Raw genomic sequence first — 20,064 nt, 5'->3', positions numbered from 1 at the left:
TGTGTTTGGTTATGTGTTTCTTGCTGGTGTGTGGCTCTAGAATCCAGTTGGGTTGGGGAGAGTTGTTATATTGGCACCAGGAGGCTCAGGTCCCAGCCCTGGCTCTGCCTCTATGTGATGTAGGTAGGCCTCCGTCCTTGCAGCCTCAGTGTCCCTAGTAGACAAGGTGTCAGCATCCTCTGAAGCCTGCAATGCTGGTCTGCAGTCTCCTCCTCACCTCTCCTGGCCCCTCTGCTTCCCGTGGCCTGTTGGTACCATCTCTTTTCCCAATTCCTGGGTGGGGGGTTGCCCTGCTGGCTGCAGGAGCTGGCAATGGGGGAGGTGGTGCGTGAGTCAGAGCTCAGGCATGTAATTGTGGTGCCCCAGATCCCACCTCCGGGCTACCGTCCTTCCCTTAGCGGCTGCTTTAGAAGAACAAGCTGGTTTGGCAGCTACCTCAGAGAAGCAGGACCCTGGGCAGCGTGAAAGGGCCTCTGCCCCCAGGGTGGCTGGGCTTTGGATCCTGGATCCGTGGGTCCTGGAGGGGCAGGAGTGGTTCAGGAAACAGGTTATCTGGGTCTGGGCCTGGGGCTGGTTTGTGGGCAGCATGCGTGGAGGTGGATTGCATGTGCTGGGTTTCATGGCTGGGTATTAGATCACGTATGTCCTGTCAGCCCATCCACCAGCTTTGTGGCTTCCCCAGGGCAGGGACTCGGTGTCACCCATCACTGGGCCCCACACCCAGCACAGGGAGGGAACAGGATGGGTGCTCACTAAGGGTCACGTGGGACAGTAGAAGGCAGGATGGACTGATGAATGAACTCACTGGATTTATCCCCTTGTCCTCTCAGCTCTCCCAGTGAAGTGATATCACTGCCTCTGTGGACAAGACACCTCCAGGAGCCCAGCTCACAGCCACCGGTACCTTCTTCCAGGTAAAGAGAAAAGGAGGGAGGAAGAAAGGAGTTCAAGACAGACTGCAGAGGGCAGCTGACTGGGTTCTTACACAATGTCCACCTCCCCCATGGGGGAGTTTATGAAAAAGGCATAAATGGGATTATCGTCCCATTTTATGGACAGGAAAAAACTGAAGCTCTGAGTAGACTTGTCTCTTGCTTAGTACAGCGTTCCAGATACTTGTCTGAGAGCCCATGAGGCTGATGCCATGGTTATCCCTGCTTTATAGATAAGGAAGCTGAGGTATAAAGGCATTTAGAAACTTGCTCCATTAAATACATGTTAGAGCTGGGTTTCAAACCCAGGCAGGTCGCCAGGCATGGTGGCATGCACCTGTAGTCCCAGCTACTTGGGAGGCTGAGGCAGGAAGATTGCTTGAGCCCAGGAGTTCGAGCTGCAGTGAGCTATGATTGTGCCACTACACTCCAGCCTGGGCGACAGAGTGAGACTGTGTCTCTAAAAAAAAAAAAAAAATGAAAACCCAGGCAGGCTGACCTCTTCACAAACCCTGTGATTTACTGCCTCTCAAGAGCCCAGCATTAAACTAAGTTTCCTTAACCTCCAATCTGAGGGTTGAATGGGCTTCCACCTCCAGAGAAGATTTATATTTTAAAAGAGAATCCTAGAGAAAGTGATGCTTCCTCCAAAGGAATGAATGACAAATAGTGGATTTGGAGGCCTTATATCATGGAATTAGCATGAACCTTCAAGGTGGGCCAGCCAGCTCCTGGGACTTTCTTCCTCAGCATTCGAGCAAGCTCGGTTTTCATTGGTCACCAAGGTGAAACCTCGACATTTGAAGGAAGGGAGGAAAAGTTTAGGCCCCAGGTTCTCGGACCTGCCTGGAAGCAGAGACTGCTGTTCTTTGCAGAAGACTGTGAAGAGTAGTGATGTTCATGACAGTGATGAAATTAGTATCCTGTGCCAGATTTGAGGTCATCTTACACTAGATATGGTACAGAAATGTGCAAATGGATATCAGAGGTTTAAGAAAAATTTGTGAGAGAAAAGTACCTAATTGAGTCTTTTTTTTGTAATTTTTTTTTCTGTAAATTGGGAAGAGGCTAATTATTATTCAGAGGCAGAATTCAGGCTTTCAGAAGTGGCTCTGCAGTTGTGTGGTGTAAGATGCTTTGATTGGTTCTTTTTTTCCTTCCGTCTCACATTTAACCAGCTTTTTGACTGACAACTAAATAGGTACCTCCTTGGTGCCAGGCCCAGTGCAGGGGACATAGGTCCTCTATACAGTGACTCTTCTAGCAAGGACAGGGCCTGGCATATCTTGTGTCCCCATCACCAGGTGTGGGGCTGCAGACACTATAGGTCTTCAGAAAAGCTTGGCCAAGTGGATCAGAAGTCTGAACCCGGGGAAGCTCCCAGTCTGGTGGGTGAGGCAGCCACGGAAGCAGATAATTACAGCGCACTGAGGCCTGTGATCATTCTCAGGAGCTCTGCCAGATGATATGAGCACAAAAAGGAGGAGGCAGTGGGCTTTTGTTGGGGGGAATCAGCCCAAGCTTTGCACAGGGTCTGTTTGTTAAGATGGATGGGATTTGGATTGGGATTTGGATTGGGATTTGGGGAGGGCTTTCCTGGCAGAGGGCCCAACCTGAGTGAAGGCATGGAGGTGGGAAAGCTGGGTAGGTGGTGTCTTTGGAGCACAGTGGTACAAGGAGGGGTAGGAGAGGACAGAGACAAGATTGCTCTGTACAAGTCTCCACTGTACTCACGTTCCTCCTCCTCCTCCCCCTTTCATTTACTTGGTGTGCCCCACTTTCCCACTCCCCTCTCCCTGGGACTTAGGAAGAGCCATCAGAAAAAGCCAGGCTGGCCCCTGCAGCTGAACCACTGGGCTCCTGGAAGGGGCTTGCACAAGTCAAACTGAGGGTGGGGGATGCTGAAAGTCTCTACTACCCCCAAATAGTAGTCCCGGGGCCTTCACTGGCTCTGCCTGCTCCCCAGAGAACCTGTCAGTGTCACTGGGGGAGAAGGGGGTGGGGGCAGGATCTCTTCTTAGGATGGCCTTAATACAGTCCTGGTGGCTTGGAGAAAACTACTCAGCCCTCCAGGGAGGGGAGAGGCCTGTCACTAGGAGTATGTGAGTCTAGGGAAGCCACTGACCGGTCTGGAGAGGCTGGAGAACCACCAGTAAGAGCAGCACAGGGGATTTCTGAATGGAAGGGGAGGCTGGATGGAGTGCCTCCAGGACTTTGGTGCTGATGTTTTGTGACTTAGCAGTCTGAAATCCAGGGATAATTTGAAGATACCAGTTGAATTATTCAATGAGGATTCCATGACACTGTGAGTCTTGGGTGAAGTGATTCTAGAGGTCCAATTTGGGGCATTTGGAGCCTGAGATTTTGAGTTCTGAGATGCTAAGCTGTGCCCTCTGGGCAAGGCCAGGTCACTTTTGGTGACTACTCAGCCCAAGCTCATAGCCCTGACCTGGGAAAGAGAAGTCCTTTCTGTACCAAGAGAACCCAAGGCCCCTGGGCAGGCTCCTGATTTGGGGAAGAGCTAGTCTACCTTCGCCTCTGGGCCCTGCCAGCCTCCTCCCGAGAGGAATGGCAATCAGAGGTCTCTTGGGACAGAAGTGTTGGGTAAACAGGAGGCCCTGGCATCACCGTGGAAAGAGATTAATAGTGACCTTAATTATGGCATGATTGATTCTTGGAGGCTCTGGCTGAGCCCCAGCCTCAGCCACTGAGTAACATTTCCCCAGAGAATGAGGAGGCTTGCAGGGCCTGGGTGGCACAGGCCCCACCTGCCTCTTCACCTCAAAGCCTCTCTCCCTGCCTCCTTCCAGGCACCTCCTCCCCGAGCCTCTCCCCACTGGCAGCTGCCCCTGTGACTTAGAATTCCTTCCTGCCCCTAGGTCTGGTTACCTTCTCTGCAGATTCCATTAGAATCTAGGGCTTTCTCTGAGGCCCAGAGAGGTGGAACGACTTCCCCAAGGCTGTACAGTGAGTTGGTGGCAGCCGGGGATCTCTCCATTCAAGCCATCAAATGAGGCTATGCAATGGAAAATAGACTGAGTCTTGAGCACCCCGGAAAAGCTACCTGCAGGAGGCTGGGGCCGGAGAGCACAGGGCAGGGCCGGGGATAGGTGGGTTCCACATTTCACTGGCTGGGCTTTTTCCAGAATCTTTCCTGTCTCCCCCACCTGCAGCCCTCACCCTGGGGCCAGAGATTTGTTTTGTGGGTTTGGGTTTAGTTGTTTTGTTTTGGGAAACGGTCCACTTGGTGAGCTGTTTGGGATGCCCTCTGCCCTGGGAGAAGCCCCAATCACTGCCCTCCCTGCCACCTAGGCTTCCGCTGTGCTGTCTCCTTACCTAAAATGCCCTTCCTTCTCCCCTTTGTGCTGCAAATCTTTTCTCATTTCTGAATTCTGCATAGATCTCACCATCTCCTGGAAGCCCCTACACAGTGGTCAGGAAACACAGATTTGTGGGATCCAGAAGAGATAGTGACCCAGTCAGGAAGGGCTTCCTGGAGGAGGGGCTACCTGAGCTGAGATGAGCAGGAGTTTGCCAGGCATTGAGGATAGGTGGAGGGGCTGCAGGGCTAAGGTGGTTTCATAGGCACAGCTGGGTTGGGAGCAGGGATGGATGAAGTGGTGAGGAAGGACCACAGAAAGGCCCTGGTCCTGCTCCAAGGCCATGATCCCGGAGCCCTATGGAAACCATGGCCCTGCACCTTTCATGCCTGGCATTTTACTGTAAGGGAAGTTTGGGGTCACCACTATTTGTGAGTCATCTAGGCCACAATGTACCTACACCTTAATCCCTATCAAAGATGGTGGAGGCCCTTGGGCAGGGCCAGAGCTCTGCCCTGGTGCTCAGGACGACCAGGTGCCTAACCTTGGTATGGGCCTTCCTGCCACTTTCATCCAAGTTTTGAACTGCGTCCCAGGAGGGTGACTGTCAGGATGCCCAGTGATTAGTCGTGGGAGCAGAGGGGGCTCTTCCCCAGTCAGAACAGGGAGGGATCAGGGATTGGCCTTCCCTTTTCCTCGAGCAGCCCCCTCTCTGCTTTGCTACTGGGGGTGAGGAGAGAGCGGGTAGCTAAAGGGTTTTAGAAGTTGAGTGCTGGAAAGGCCCTTGGAGATCAGCCAAGGGTGCTCAAACCCTCCCATGATACAGATGGGAAAACTGAGGCCAGAGGCTTGGGGCAGTCACTCAGCCTACTGGTGTTCCAGTTCAGCCTCAGACCATCATCCCAGGGCTGGGCTGGGGTTGAGGCCCCGCGAGGGCAGCCACGGCCAAGGAGAAGGGGGGTGTCTCTCCATCTGCATGCTTGCCCCCCTTCCCCAGGGCCCTAGCACAATGCCAAAGGTCGGCCTCCCATCCCCACCAGCCCTGGCACTGTTGGGGGTTTTTCCTTTCCTCCCCAATGTTCCTAGACTCATTCTGCCTATGCTTTCCTGATACCAACCAAAATGTTGAGCTTGGCCCTTTGAGGTACAATTTGCAGTTATACAGATGCTGCAGCTGGCATTGACGTGGAAGGTGATAGAAACGTGAACAGGCCCGCCCTGTGGGGCTGCAACCATGGAGAGTCTGGACTTTAGAGTCAACAGCCCCGGGTTCAAATCCTCCCTCCTCCATGATTAGCTGTTTGGCCTTGGGTGAATTACCTAACCTCTTGGGTGCGGGTGCACACGTGTGTGTGTGTGTGTGTGTGTGTGTGTGTGTGTGTGTGTGTATTTAATACACTTTTTCAAAAGCAGTTTTAGGTTTACAGTAAAATTGATTGGAAAGTACGGAGAGTTTCCATATACCCTCCTCTGCCTTTCTCCTCCCCATAGTCTGGCTTATTCTTTACATCTTATATTAATATGGTACATTTATTACAACTGATGAACTAATATTGGTTAATTATGATTGACTAAAGTCCATGTTTGCGCTATAGTTCCCTCCTTGTGTTGCACACTCTATGGGGTTTGACACATGTCCATCATTACTGTGTCATACAGAAGAGCTTCACTGCCCTCAAAATTCCTTGAGCACCACTTATTTTTCCCTTCCCCCTGAGTCCTTGACAGCCACTGATCTCTTTACTACCTCCATAGTTTTGCCTTTTCTAGAACGTCACTTAGTTGGAATTATACAGTATATAGCTTTCCAGATTGGCTTCTGTCACTTAGCAATATGTTTTCAAGGTCTCTCCATTGCTTTTTGTGGCTGGGTAGCTGACTCCTTTTTATTGCCAAATAATATTCCTCATTGTGTGGGATGCACTGTGGTTGGTTTGCCCATTCGTTCAGGCCCATGTTTGCAATCTGTTAAGACCATTGGCCTTTGCTCAGGAAGGTTGTCAAGGGGAGGGGACGCCTATGCAATGCTCAGCACAGTACCCAGCAATGACCTGGAGTGCCCACACCACCCAGCAGCAAGTGCTAGCACAACAAACAGTAACTATTGTGGCTGGTAGTACTCACACCGTACATATGTTAGCTCAGCCAGTTCTTTTTATTATTATTATTTATTTTTTTAGAGATGGAGGTCTCACCATGTTGCCCAGGCTGGTCTTGAACTCCTGGCCTCAAGTGATCCTCCTGCCTCGGCTTCCTCAAAGTGCTAGGATTACAGGCATGAGCCATGGCACTTGACCTCAATCAGTTCTGGAACACATTTATTAAGGGCTTAAAACCTGTTAAAAGCTGGCAACACAGTGAATATCCTCATACCAATCAAGGTTTGGGATTGCAAACAACAGAAACAATTCAGGTTAATTTGGCAGAAGAGTTCCTTGGAAGGAACTAGAGTTGTTTCCAGAATCTGAGGGGTCTGGAGACCCACGCCTGGGTAGGAGTGGAGAGGGCCCAGGTACAGCCAAGGTTTCCAGGCTGTTGTCCCCTCTGGTGCAGCTGCTGCTGACCTCGCAGCACCTCACAACTAGTGCAGACATTCATGTGACTTCCAGACCTGGGCACTTAAACAAAAAAAGTTTTATCGAGATAAAGTTCGCAACCATCACCACTAATTCCAGGACATTTTCTTTTTTTGTGGGAGGGTTGGATGGTGGCGCACAGGGTCTCACTCTCTTGCCCAGGCTGGAGTGCAGTGGCGCCATCTCAGCTCACTGCAACCTCCGCCTCCTGGGTTCAAGTGATTCTCCTGCCTCAGCCTCCCAAATAGCTGGGATTACAGGCGCCTGCCACTACTGCCCAGCTAATTTTTGTATTTTTAGTAGGGACGGGGTTTCACCATGTTGGCCAGGCTGGTCTTGAACTCCTGACCTCAAGTGATCCACCCTCCTCGGCCTCCCAAAGTGCTGGGATTACAGGTGTGAGCCACCATGCCTGGCCAGGGACATTTTCACCAGCCCAAAAAGAAACTCCACACCTATTAGCAGTCACTCCGCCTTTCCTCCCCAATCCTCCCAGCCCCTGGCATTCACTGAGCTACTTTCTGTCTCAGTATTTGCCCATTCTGGTCATTTCTTATACATGGAATCATACAATATGTGGCCTTTTGTGAAGTTGGCATGACGTCTTCAAGATTCATGTTGTTGCCTCAATTCCTTTTTATTACAGACCTGAGCACTTCCATGTATTACCTCATTTAGTCCTCATTCCCTGATGGGTAAAGTAAGGCTCAGGGAAGAGGTAGTGACCTGTCCAAGGTCACATAGCAATTCAGTTGAGGGTGACCAGGCTAGAATCCAGGCACTTCATGATCAGAAAAGGAGCTGAGAGCAGTGCAGTGCAGTCTGGGGGGCACAGCGTGGGCCTGGCAGTTATGGGAGGGAGAAAGGGTAGGGGAGCAGGCCAGTGCGTCCCGGGATGTGAGGATGAGACAGGACGCCGGAGGTGCACGCCCATCCCAGCATCCTGCCTCTGCTCCATAGTGCGTGTTTATTCCATCTCAGTCATGGACTCTTGCTTTTCCCTGTGCAAGCAGGAGGCTGTGCAAGTACAGGGTAGGGGCCAGGAATTCTGACAGAAAATAGGACTTTGGGCTGGGGAGGGGCCTTGGACATCAGGCTCAGAGGTGAGAGCGTTCTCTTGTCCCAGAGCCAGCAGTAGCTCTTGGCAGGGGATTTCTTGGGAACTTGGCTGGTATCAGCAGCCCTGGGACGTAGCTTGGAGAAATCGATTGGACCTAAGTAATGCCATTATCCCTGGCAGGAAGGGGAGGGGAGGGGATGGGCTGGTGAGGGATGGTGGAGAGAGTCCCGTCTCAGAGATCGTCCCGGCGGCCGAGTGTGGTGTAAGTAGCATGCCTCTGTTAGCAGAACTTCTGGGCACTTCTCTGAAGTATGGTCCAAGAAGTCCCTAGTGCCTCCTGCTCTTGCTGCCCTGTGTTGCTCCCTGGGGACATGGGGTTAATGCAGACCATCCCATGGGGGAGGCAGGCATGTCCACGGTGCTCTCACAGTGTGCCCAGGTAAGAGGGAGGGACATGCCAGGGATATGGGAGGCTGGGGAGACCTCTAACCAAACCGGGCCTCCATGGAGGAGGGAACATCTGACACTTGAAGGATCAGGAGGTGTTCACCAGGTGAAGGGAAGCAAGGCTGGAAAAGCAGTAGTGGTCAGATCCCGGTCACTGCCTGTTAGGAAGTTCAGTCCAGCTGCAGGTAAGAGTTTGGATTGGAGGGATGGGGCTGAAAGCAAGGAATCTGGAGGAGTCCCCAGCCAGGGGAGATGAGGCCTTGAACAGGGGAGTGGCTGTGGGGATGGCGAGAAAAGGGCCTTGAGAAAAGGGTGGTAGAGGGCAGTGTGGCTGAACTGGGTCTGCAAGGCCTGGGTGACACCGCTGGAGACATCCAGGAGCTGCTGGCTATCTCGATCAGAGGCAGAGCCTGGGTGGCCTTGGCAGCACCTGGTAACTAAAGCCGTGAGAGTGGACAAGATGGCTGCAGCCAGGAGAGCATACAGAAGAGAAAGAAGAGGTTTGCCTCCCAGAGAATCCCCTACACTTATGAACAGGACAAAAATGCACCAGGGGGAGAGGAGACTCTGAGAGCCAGTATCAGCGAAGTTCTGGGCCGAGGCATGACGCATGCACTTCTACTTCCCTCTTTTCCAGGTTTGAAGTGGAATTTCCATTCCTGGGTGGGTTGTAATGTGCAGTCGTGGGGACAGGGGAGGGGCGGCAGAGGACATGTGGGAATTAGTCCCAGGGGCAGGGGGGTCCCGGGAAAGGAGTGTGAAGGCAGGGGAACCTGGGGCGGGCTCCCACGTGCATTGCAGGATGTCCACCTGTTGTACCTCAGCATTGCAGTACCTCCTGGCACTTTTCCCCCTCCCTGCCCCCAATTGTGTGTCCTATAGAAGTCAAGGCAGCAGCTGTTACCTGCTTTTACAGATTCAGAAACCAAGGCTCAGGGAAGAGCCTGAGTGGCCCCAGCCACAGAGCAAGTCAATGCGAGGCAGCATGAAGCTAGGCTTCTTTCCACATTGCACCCGCCTCCTCCCTTCCTGGGGAGGCGGGGGCAGATGTAGTGGCTGACATGACAGTAGAGAACCCTGTCTAGGGAGTGCACAGGGTGAGATCTGGCTCCCCTGGCTGTGGACCCTGGCCTCCCACCCCTGCGGGAAGGCTGGGAATGTGGGGGTGCCTATGTGGGCACGCAGCACTCCCCAAATCTGGAGTATAGTAAAGCTGAGAGCACCCTACACCAACCCCCACCCATGGTCTCTCTAGCCCCATGGGAGCCAAGCTGTGTCCCCACCCCAGCCTGTCCCCCAGGCCCTGGCTCAGGGAAGCCCCAGCAGCTGCACCATAGTCCACAGGCCTCCCCAGGGCTCCCCGGAACAGAGGCTGCAGCAGTCAATTCCCAGCACTCAGGAGACTCTGGGTCATTCAGTATTCCCAGCAAGCCCCTAATGCATCTTCCCCCTCAGACTGCAGGCTGTAATCTCCGCACTGAGGTGAAGTCAGCATTGGGTGGTGGTGTTGGAGGGATAGGCAGAGGCCCTGAGTGAGGCCTGGTGGTAGAAGTAGTGAGTGGGCCTGAAGCCCAGCGTGCTCCTACGGTGCAGCCCCTGGGGCCTTGGAGAGTGGCATCTTAGGAGCTCATCTACCAAGCCTTGGCTCAGTGCTGACTCCAGGGAGCATACTCTGACCCTCCCTGCACTTTGGTCAGTGCCCACAGGCTCCCTTTCCTCCCTCCATCATACACTGCACTTACCATAAGGCTCGTGGGCCATTAGAGCCCAGTCACTGTAGGAGTCTGCAAACTTTCCCTCTAAAGGGCCAGACAGTCAGTATTTTAGGCTTTGCAAGCCATATGGTCTCTGTGGCAACTACTCAACACTGCAGTTACAGTTAAAACAGCCGTAGACAATACATAAATGAATGAGCATGGCTGCGTCCAATGAAATGTTATTTATGGACACTGAAATTTGACTTTCATATAATTTTCATATGTCACAAGATATTTTTGTTTTGACTCTTCACAACCATTTAAAAACATAAAGACTATTCTTAGCTTTTGGGCTGTACAAAAATAGGTGGCAGATCAGATTTGGCAGGCCCATGGGTTAGAGCAAGGTCCCTGGAGCCAACCTGCGTGGGTATGAATCCTGGCTCTGCTGGGTGTCCTTTGGTAAGTGGGTCAACCTCTCTGTGCTTCAGAGTTCTCATCTATAAAATGGGGATGATGATGATGATACTTTGGGGATGTAACATGGTGCAGTCACATTGGAAAAGTTTGGCAGTTCCTCAAAAGGTTAAACATAAAAGTTACCATATGATCCAGGTGTGGCAGCACATACCCGTAGTCCCAGCAACGCAGGAGGATCACTTGAGCCCTGGAGTCTGAGGTGGCCATGAGCGATGATTGCACTACTGCACACCAGCTTGGGCAACAGAGCAAGACCTTATCTCAAAAACAAAAGTTACCATATGACACAGCAATTCTTTTTTTTTTTTTTTGAGATGGAGATTTGCCCTGTCACCCTGGCTGGAGTGCAGTGGTGCGATCTTGACAACCTCTGCCTCCCAGGTTTAAGCGATTTTCTTGCCTCAGCCTCCCGAGTAGCTGGGATTACAGGTGCCCACCACCATGCCCAGCTAATTTTTGTATTTTTAGTAGAGATGGGGTTTCACCATGTTAGTCAGGCTGGTCTCGAACTCCTGACCTCAAGTGATCCACCTGCCTTGGCTTCCCAAAGTGCTGTGACCAGCAATTCTATCCCAAAAGAAATGTGTACCCAAAAGAAATGAAAACACACGTTCACACAAAAAACTCATTCACAGAAGCATTATGTATAACAACCCAAAAGTGATAACAACCCATATGTCCATCAGCTGATCAATGGATAAACAAAATGTGGTAGATCCATACAACAGAATGTTAGACATAAAAAGGAATGAAATGCTGATCCATGCTACAACATGGATGAGCCTTGAGAACATTATGCCACGTGAAAGAAGCAAGACACAAAAGGTCACATATTGTATGATTCCATTTATACGAGGTCTCTAGAATAGGCAAGTCCATAGAGACAGAAAGTGGATGAGCAGTTGCCAGGGCCAGAGGAGTGAAGCCAGGGTAAATAGGGAGTTACAGTGCATGAGAAGGGGGTGGGGGGTTGTTGGGATGGTGAAACTGTTTTGGGATTAGATAGTGGTGATGGTTGTACAACTTGTGAATATACCAAAAATTGAATACTGTATATTAAATACTGAATTGTATACTTTAAAAGGGTAAATTTTATGGCATGTGAATTATATCTCCATTTTTTAAATGCAAATCCTTCCTTCCTTCCTAGGGCTGCTGTTATAGTTTCTGCATGGAAAGCACTTGGAACAATGCCTGGCTGTTCCCCTCTTTGGCCCTCTCAGGGCCCTAGGAGCCTTTGTGTGTCCTGCTCACATTGTCTCCAGGGCCTCGGACAGGGCCTGGTACAGAACATATGACTGAGTTTCTGGAGTCCCACAGGCCAGCGTTGGAGTCCTGACACCTCAGTATAGCTGTGCACCTCTGGGCAAATAGTTTCTCTGCTCTGAGCCCCAGGTTTGTCATCGGCAAAATGGAATAAGAATAACTCACAGTGGTGTGGAGGACTGGATGACACCTGATACTCAGGGTGTGTGAGGTGCCCCAAGCCCATTGCCACCTGGTCACACTTTACCAACACTGGCCCCCAGAGGCCGAGGCTCCCACAGATATCTCCAGGGTGCCAAGCAGGGCTGGGGCAGTAGCTTCTGGCAGCCACACTTCAACCCTCAAGACACCTCTTGCTGCTATACCATCCTCCCACAGGCCCCACCCGGTGAGGGAGCTCCCTGTGTCTGGAGAATGAATACTTTGGGGCACTAGAGCAGTTCCTAGATTGACTACAGTCCAGTTATGGGACAGCAGCCAGGCATTGCTCCTTGTTCTCTGAGCCTCAGTTTGTTGAACTGTCAAATGGGTTTAGGACACAGAACCTGCCACTTCAGATGGTTGTGCTGATGAGATGGAACAATGAATGTAAAGTATTTACACGGTGCCTGGTGTATTTTAAGTGCTCAACACATCTCAGCTTATATGATAATTTCTTCTAAAATGTTTATTTTGAAAGTCTGCTATGTGCTAGACACTGTTCAAGTTACTGGGAATACAGCAGAAAATACAACAGACAAAAATCCTTGCCTTCATGAAAACTGCATTATAGTAGGGTAGACAGACAGGAAAAATAAGCAAGTTATATTTAAGGACATGATTGAGAAAACAAAGCTGAGAATGTGGGAAGGAGCTTAGGGAATGTGGGAAGGGGCTACAGTTTTACAGAAGGTGATCTGGGACAGTCTCATTGAGTAAAGGACATGTGGCCAGGTGCCATGGCTCACGCCTGTCATCCCAGCACTTTGGGAGGCTGAGGCAGGTGGATAACCTGATGTCAGGAGTTCGAGACCAGCCTGGCCTACATGGCAAAACCCCAGCTCTACAAAAATACGAAAATTAGCCAGATGTGGTGGGCACCTGTAATCCCAGCTACTTGGGAGGCTGAGGCAAGAGAATTGCTTGAACCCAGGAGGCAGAGGTTGCAGTGAGCCGAGATTGTGCCACAGCACTCCAGCCTGGGTGACAGAGCAAGACTCTGTCTCAAAAAGAAAAGAAAAGGACATTTGAGCTAAGACCTGAAGAGAGGAGGGGAAAGAGAAGGAAGCCATGCAGGTTTCTAAGGGAAGAGCATTCCAGGCAGAGGGAACAGCAGCATGCTAGGCCAGTGAAGAACATGGAAGAGGTCAGGAGTGGCTGGAGGGGAAGGAGTAGGGAGGATGAGGGCCTGGGTGGGAGGCAGAGGACAGGTCCTTGGGGACCTGCAGGGGTGGGCCTGTGACTCCAAGTGAGACGGAGCCCCACTGCAGTGCTTTGAGCAGGGGTGACCCTCCCTGACCTAGGCTACAATGACTTGCTGTGTGGTGCCTGACTCCTCACCCTTCCCCTGCCTCACTGCCCTGTGCTTCCTCCTGCAGGACAAGCTGGGGGCCTCCATGGGCGCCTGAGGGCCAGGCGCCAGGGCCGTGGGCACGAGTATGGTGAGACACCAGCCCCTGCAGTACTACGAGCCACAGCTGTGCCTCTCCTGCCTCACGGGCATCTACGGCTGCCGTTGGAAGCGCTACCAGCGCTCCCATGATGATACCACACCGGTGAGCCACCCTGGAACAGGGTCAGAGGGACCCAGTGAGCCCCAGCAAGCCTGAGGGGCTGGGGGAGGGGTCTTAGCTCTGTCTCTGCTGACTCGCTCTGGACAGGCCAATGGCCTTTCTGGGTTTCAGTTTCTCCCTCTGTAAAATGGGCTTATAGTAATTCCTGAATCTACTGACCAGGAGGGCATGGAAGGAGTTTGTCCTGTTGACAAGTTGTTAACTCTCCTCTGACATTGTTGAGGTTGGGCTCCTCTAGAAGGGAAGGGTCACCCCAAGGTGAGCAGAAGTTCTCAGCTTCCTGGCAGATCTTGACAGGCAGGCAGGCAGGCAAACAGGCAGGTGCTGGAGGAGAGGGTGAGGAGATGGGCCTGGCCATCCTGGAGCCTGGGAGCTGGCAGGGCCACGGTCTGGCACCGGGGCTCAGTCACCTGAGCCACAGGCTTGCCAGAGCTGGCAGCAGGTGCACAGCCGGATAAAGAAAGCCTCCTTCAGTGCTGGGCTTCCCAGGCCAGACCTAAGCTGCACTCCTGTCCCTGGGGCGCTGTCAGCCAGTGGATCTAGTTTCTTCTCTGAAGGAACCCAATTCCTGTGTGGTGTTTATCTAAAAGCTTTACTGTCTGGAGAACAACTTTCCTCCTCCTTCCTGCTTGTCTGAACAAAGAAGCCAGCCTCTAAATTCAGCCAGCCCCAGAAGAGGCTGGAGTGGCCAGGGGGTGGCAGGGTGTGGGCCGGGGTGGGGGATGGGGAGCGGTGGCTGCCGCTGATGTCAGAGGCCCAGTAGGCCTGGCTGTCTGTCTGGGGAGGTCGGGGAAGCTTATCCACCTGTCTGCCCTCCTCTGCCTGTGCTGATGACGGATAGAGCCCTAGACTGAGGAGCCTGGGTTCGTCACCTCCAAATAGTGAAAAGCAGGAACTGCCAGGGTGGGCACCAGGCCTGATTCATTGCCATCTCCCCACTCCCGGCCACAGAGGAGCCAAGTGGCCAAACTGAGGCAAAGGAGAGGGAAGGGCCTGCCCAAGGCCACAGGGCAGGCCCCTGGCAACGCCAATACTAGAGCCCCGGTCTCTCCACTCCAGGCCCCTGCTGGGAAGCCCTCTGAGATACCATATGTCACAGCTTTCCCTCTTATGTGGAGGGGTACAGACCGTGGGCTCTGGAGTCAGATGGATTCAGGTTTTGGTGGTGCATCCTCTACTTGAATCTAGTTGCCTGTGAGCTCCCTCAACGGTGAACTGGAGGGGAGACACACCCCTCTCAAGTTGCCGCTGGGCCATGACATGTGATGAGGGCTGTAACGTGACTGGCACAGTGCCAGCTATGACTAGCCATTGAGACAGGTCCTTCCAGATGCCCAAGCCTCAGCCTCTCCATCTCTGAAATGGGAGATAGGTTGTGATCTTGGCTTCAGAATCCCGTGACCACTCTACCGTGCTCCACACTTTGTTCTGGATCTGGACCTGGGCAATGGAGGTCCAGCAGCCACTGGTGTGAATGGGGTGGGGAGACAGCTGAGGCTAAGGTGAGAAGAAGGATGGCTGAGCTCCCAGGCAGGAAGCCCCTTGGCCATCAGGGCAGATGCTGGGGAAGGCGTATCTCCCAGAAGTCTCATCTCCTTGGTGGGCCCAAGGCCAGCCAGTCATAGGCATGGAGTCAGGAAGTGATGATCTTGGCTGCAGCCAGCACAGGGCCCAGAGTGGAGGAAGTGGGCTGAGGCTGGTTTTGAGCTGACTGAGAACCAGAACAGAATGTGCCCTGCAAGGCTAGGGTCTGGGTCACCAATCTGAGGCAGGGGTCTGGGGCCAAGGCTGGAGGGGCAGCAGGGGGCCATGAGCTAGGCTAGGAGAGGGTATAGGGCTTTACAGCAGCTCTGGGTGGCAGCGCCTCTGCAGAAAGGGCTGAGCTCACCTCAGGTGACCCCAAACTCACAGCTGAAGATGAGCATCCTCTGCTCCCCCGCCCCTTTCTCCCTGCAGTCGCTCACTTCGCTCCGCCCCCTGTCTCCTCCTACTTCCTGGTTCCCAGCCTCTGCCCCTCATCCTTTCTCTCTCTCCCCATTTCTCTTTTCTCTCTCTATTCCTTCCTGAGGCAGCTGGGTGAGGGCAGCGGTGGGGCTGGACTCTCACAACGAAGGAATAGCGACCTAGTGTCTCAAAGACAGGGCTGGTGCAGGGTAGGGGCTCCAGAAATTTCGCTGAACAAATAGAGGTCTTGCGTAAGCTCTGCGGGGGCTGGTAGGGAGAGGAGAGCTGCCTGAGTTGAGGGGTGGTGGAGACGGCTCTTCCAGTGAGCCTGGTTTGTCTCCTTATTCTCACCACCCCCGCCCCAGGGGGGATTCTCCCCCTGTATCTCCCAACTCAGAGAAGCCTGGGTTCAACTCCTGTGAAACCCGATCTCCCTGAGTCTCATCTGTGAAATGGGCTGAAAGGTGGGAGAGTCACGAGGCATTTTATTCTCATTCTCAGGCTGGAAAATGAAGTATGAAAGTAATAGTATCTGTTAACATTTATTGAGTACCTACTGTATGCAGGGAGCAAACAGTTTACATGCATTGCCCTAGTCATTGTTGTAACATCTCCATGGGCCATGTTTAATTGTGTGCCCATTTTACAGATGGAGAAATCAGTCACACAGGCTGATGATAGATTTGCAGCCTAAACTGCTGGAGACTAGGGAAGATAGCGTGTGTTGAAGATGTGGGTTTAAGTGAGAGTTTGCTGGAAGAAGAAAGGCAAGGGGACTTGGGAAGTTGCCTGATGGAGGAGAAAGAGCACTGGACCAGGAGCATTTGGGACAAGATGGGGAGTGGCCTTGAATGCCAGGCTTGGAATCCTCAGTGTTTCCCTGGTTATGATCCAGCCCTGGGCCCTGAAGTGGATCCTGGGAGTGGAGAGGGTGCGTGGAGAGAGCCTGGGAAGGGCCCCTTCCTCTCCATCCACGCTGGTCTCCCTCCTTCCTGCCCCCCAGCCTGACACATTCCCACCTCTTCCAAGCCTTTGCCCCCCAGTCCCCCAGGATACACGCTTAACAAATAAAGAAGCAGGAAACCAAGGACCAGAGAGGTGAAATGGCCTCTTCTCTTGCCCCCAGTTCTGAGGAGTGGAGGAGCCTGGCAGCAGGAGGCCAGGCTCACTCAACAGCCAGGAAGGGGAAGTAGAGCTTTTTATAACTGGGGATAATTAATTGGTTGTTGTCTGTGACTCATTACTCTAATACTGCCAATTAAGGACTTGGTAGGACAGAAGACTGTTCTCAGGCCATCCCCACAGGGTCCCCTGAAGACTGTGTCTGCAAAAGGCAGTGTCAAAACCAGCTTCTCTATAGAGAGGGATATAGGTCAGATGCCTGGAGGAACTTCCCAGCCAGAGACATTGAAAGAGACAGACTACCATAGCCGATTCTTGCACTTCTGTAGTACATTTACCTTTTGAAGGCTGCTATAATCTTAATTGATTTCCTCCAGGAAGAGCAAGGGAGTTATTCAGGCCAAGGGGCTGAGGGCACAGCCTGCACTGACCCCACTCACACCCCCAGGCCTGTGCCTTCTCATCTGTTCCACACCAAACAGTCTTGTCTGGGGTGCCCTGATTACTTATTCAATCAACAAACCTGTCCTGCTACCTGCTCTGGGGTCATAAGTATATCAGACCTGGTTTTCCCCTCCCTTGAAGGGCCGGCCCCCAGGCTTGTGGGGGAACAGACAAGATCAGACACACCTGGACCACCCAGGTCGATCATTTTGGAGGCCTGGGGAAACCCTGGGGGCAGGGAAGGCTTGCCCGAGCTGGCCTCTGGGAGTATCGGCCCCATCTCCACAGACCAGGGAAGTGTTCAGGGTAGGGGGAACTGTGTGCACAAGAGAGTGTCTTGTGTTCAGGAACTGAAAGGAATTCAGTCCACCGGCTCAGGTGCAGGGACGGGGAAGGGTGCTGCTCAGTGGGCCTGAGCCTGAAGCTGTATTAAGGAGTCTAGGCTTCATCCTGGGCAGCGGGGGCCTGAGCCAGGCTCGGGCTGTGTGAGGAACACTGTGGTCAAATTGTGGAGGATGCTGAGGGCCCTCAGGTGGAGGTGGGAGGGCCAGTGAGGCCTCAGGTGTCTATGTGGGGAGTGAGGAGGTATACACAGGGATGCAGGCTGGGGAGGCATTCCAGAGACACCTAGAAGGTATCAACGGACTGGCTGTGGACTGAGGTGCAGAGGAAGGAGTGTCTGACAGTGAATCCCATCCTCCCATCCTCCCATGATGCCCAGCGTGGGTGGATGGAGGCCCATCCTGGAGATGGGAACACATGCTGTGCCCCAGGAGCGAGTGAGAGTACAGCGTTCTCAGTAGAGTCCAGGAATAGCACAGGAAGGGTGGGCAGAACAGACAAATAAGCCTCCCTAACCCCAGTTGCCTGCCTTCTATGATGAGATATGATGAGAGCCCCCCATCACCCTACCCTGGCAGGAAGACACTCGGTGTAGGGAAATCCATCCCCAGCTCCTCTGCCCCTTCCCCTCCATGCTCGTCCACGCCAGCCACCCTGAGCTTCTCCGCATCCACAGGATAACCTCACCCTTCACAGCACTGGGCCTTTGCTCCTGCCATTCCCTCTGCTTGGAATGCCCTGTCTTTCTCCTCCCTGCCCCTTAAGACTCATTGCAAATCCCCCTCCATGCCCCCAACTTCTGCCAAAAAATAGCCCTCCTCCTTCCTTTCTCTCCTCACTGCTCTCTCTCCCCACCTTCCTCACTCCCCTGGGGTTCCACAGCAGGTTGACCTGTGCTGGCCATGTGGATTGTGATTTTTTGTTTCCCACTGGACTCTTTAGGATAGCGTCTGGGCCTGCACACTCCAGGGACCTGACTCAGAGGAGGTCCTCGGACAAGATTTACTGAATGAACAACTGGAAGGAGGATTGAGCATATGTGTTCATGAGTGAGTGAGGAAGCGGTTAGGGGATGTGACTGCCATCTTGCTGACCAGGTGGGGCAGCCGGACCCCTAATGAGCTGTCAGAGAATGTAGGCGTACATGTGCGGACGGGTGTGTGCTGTGTTCTTGGTGCTGCCTCCTGTGCTCCTGGTGGTGGTTGGCAGTGGAGGGTGCTGCCTCAGCCAGAGGGACCTCCCAGATCACCCTGGGAGCTGGGATTGGGCTCTGCCAGTGCACAAGAGGGAGGAAGAGATGAGTTTCCCAGCTGGCCCCCACTTTTTGTCCTGTCAGCCATGTGGATTTGTGTCCAGGATATGGAGCTGGAAAGAATGGATCCCACTCAGGAAATCAGGGCAGGCTTCAGGGATGAAGCAGCCTTGAGATGGGCTCCAGGGTGTGGCTGGATTGAGCCAGATGCCACTGGGCATTCCTGGCAAGGGAGCTGCAGCCTGAACTTGACCCTGCCTCCCAGTGACTGAGTGTGTGATCTCAGGTCAGGCCCAGACCCTCTCTGGGCCTGAGCTTGCTTGTGGGTTAAGTGGAGGTACACATCTATGTCCTACAGATACAATTAGATCATGGATAGGAATGTGCCTCCTGTCTTGTACCAAAGAGACCATTGTTCCAACCCTGCAGAAAACGTGCCCTCCCTACAAACTTTCAAAGTGATGGCTTTCTCTCCTTCAGCGCTTTGAGGAAAAGAGACCCGGCAGGGGTGAGAGAGAGGCCCTCTGAGCTTTATTTTTCCCACTTCTAAAACTGCAGGATTCCTATAAGGATAAGAAACTAGGAGATGATATTATTACATCCACAAGAGAGAGAGAGGAGGGGCTGGTTTGTTGCAGCATGAGGAGGTGGGGATTTATCGCTGCAATAAAGCCATGCTGTCTCTTGCCTTAGGAAACCCCCACACCCTGCCTAGCTCCTCTTGGAATAGCACCAAGGGCACCTGGCATGACCACGTCACGCTCCAGGGGAAGTGGCTAAGTCTTGTTGATGACACTCTATGAACACCTTGAGCAAGGGTGGGGCAGGAGATGGGGCATTACCAGGGGACTATCACCACCCACCCTGTGACGTGGTCAGGGTCCTATGTAGGGATCTGGGATGGTTCTTCCTAAGGGCCCCTCAGCCCTTCTGCTCATGTCTCCCCAAGGGGCTGATGCCAGCCAAGGGATAGGCTGGGAGAGACAGGGTGCCCCAGGCAGGACTTAATTGCATTCTCCTGCCTAATGAACCACTCTGAGTGCAATGCACCCCAGCAGAAGCAAGGACAGAGGCCTGATTGCCCAGCTCTCTGTAGTCCAGAAAAATAAATCCAGCCTCTTAGGCTGTCAGGAGCCGGCTGGGGGTGGGGATTCTAATCCCTTTCCCTGCTCGGCCCTAATGCTGCAATATCTCTTCAACCTCCCCAGGCCACCACCTCCCCCAAATCTCCCGGATCAGGGCCAGGGTAATCCTGCCATAGCCTGCCCATCTCTCCCTTTTGGGAGCTCCCTGCACCCTTTCCAGCTGACATTTCCCAGGCTTTCCCGTGCATCAGTCCCCTCATTTGGAACTTGGTGAAGGTGGAACAGGCTGACCATTGGAAGAGCTGAGGTGCCCAAGATTTGGCTT

At 53.0% G+C, this 20,064-nt stretch overlaps 1 protein-coding gene across 16 annotated transcripts in view; it reads left to right on the top strand.

Moving 5' to 3' along the window:
• GDPD5 (glycerophosphodiester phosphodiesterase domain containing 5) overlaps positions 1–20,064 on the top strand; it is a 91,302-nt gene that overhangs the window by 34,791 nt on the left and 36,447 nt on the right. For 8 of the 16 annotated variants that reach the window (XM_047427653.1, XM_011545276.3, XM_047427649.1 and 5 more), the window contains 3 exons: positions 831–914; positions 11,663–11,907; positions 13,356–13,532. In XM_047427653.1, coding sequence (XP_047283609.1) covers positions 13,416–13,532 — 117 coding nt within the window. In that variant the 5' untranslated portion in view covers positions 831–914; positions 11,663–11,907; positions 13,356–13,415. 16 annotated transcript variants of the gene reach the window in all.

The sequence above is a fragment of the Homo sapiens genome, chromosome 11 (assembly GCF_000001405.40).
Source record: "Homo sapiens chromosome 11, GRCh38.p14 Primary Assembly".
Taxonomy (NCBI): domain Eukaryota; kingdom Metazoa; phylum Chordata; class Mammalia; order Primates; family Hominidae; genus Homo; species Homo sapiens.
Note: the sequence above shows the minus strand (reverse complement) of the source record. Positions and strands in the feature narration are given on the sequence as shown.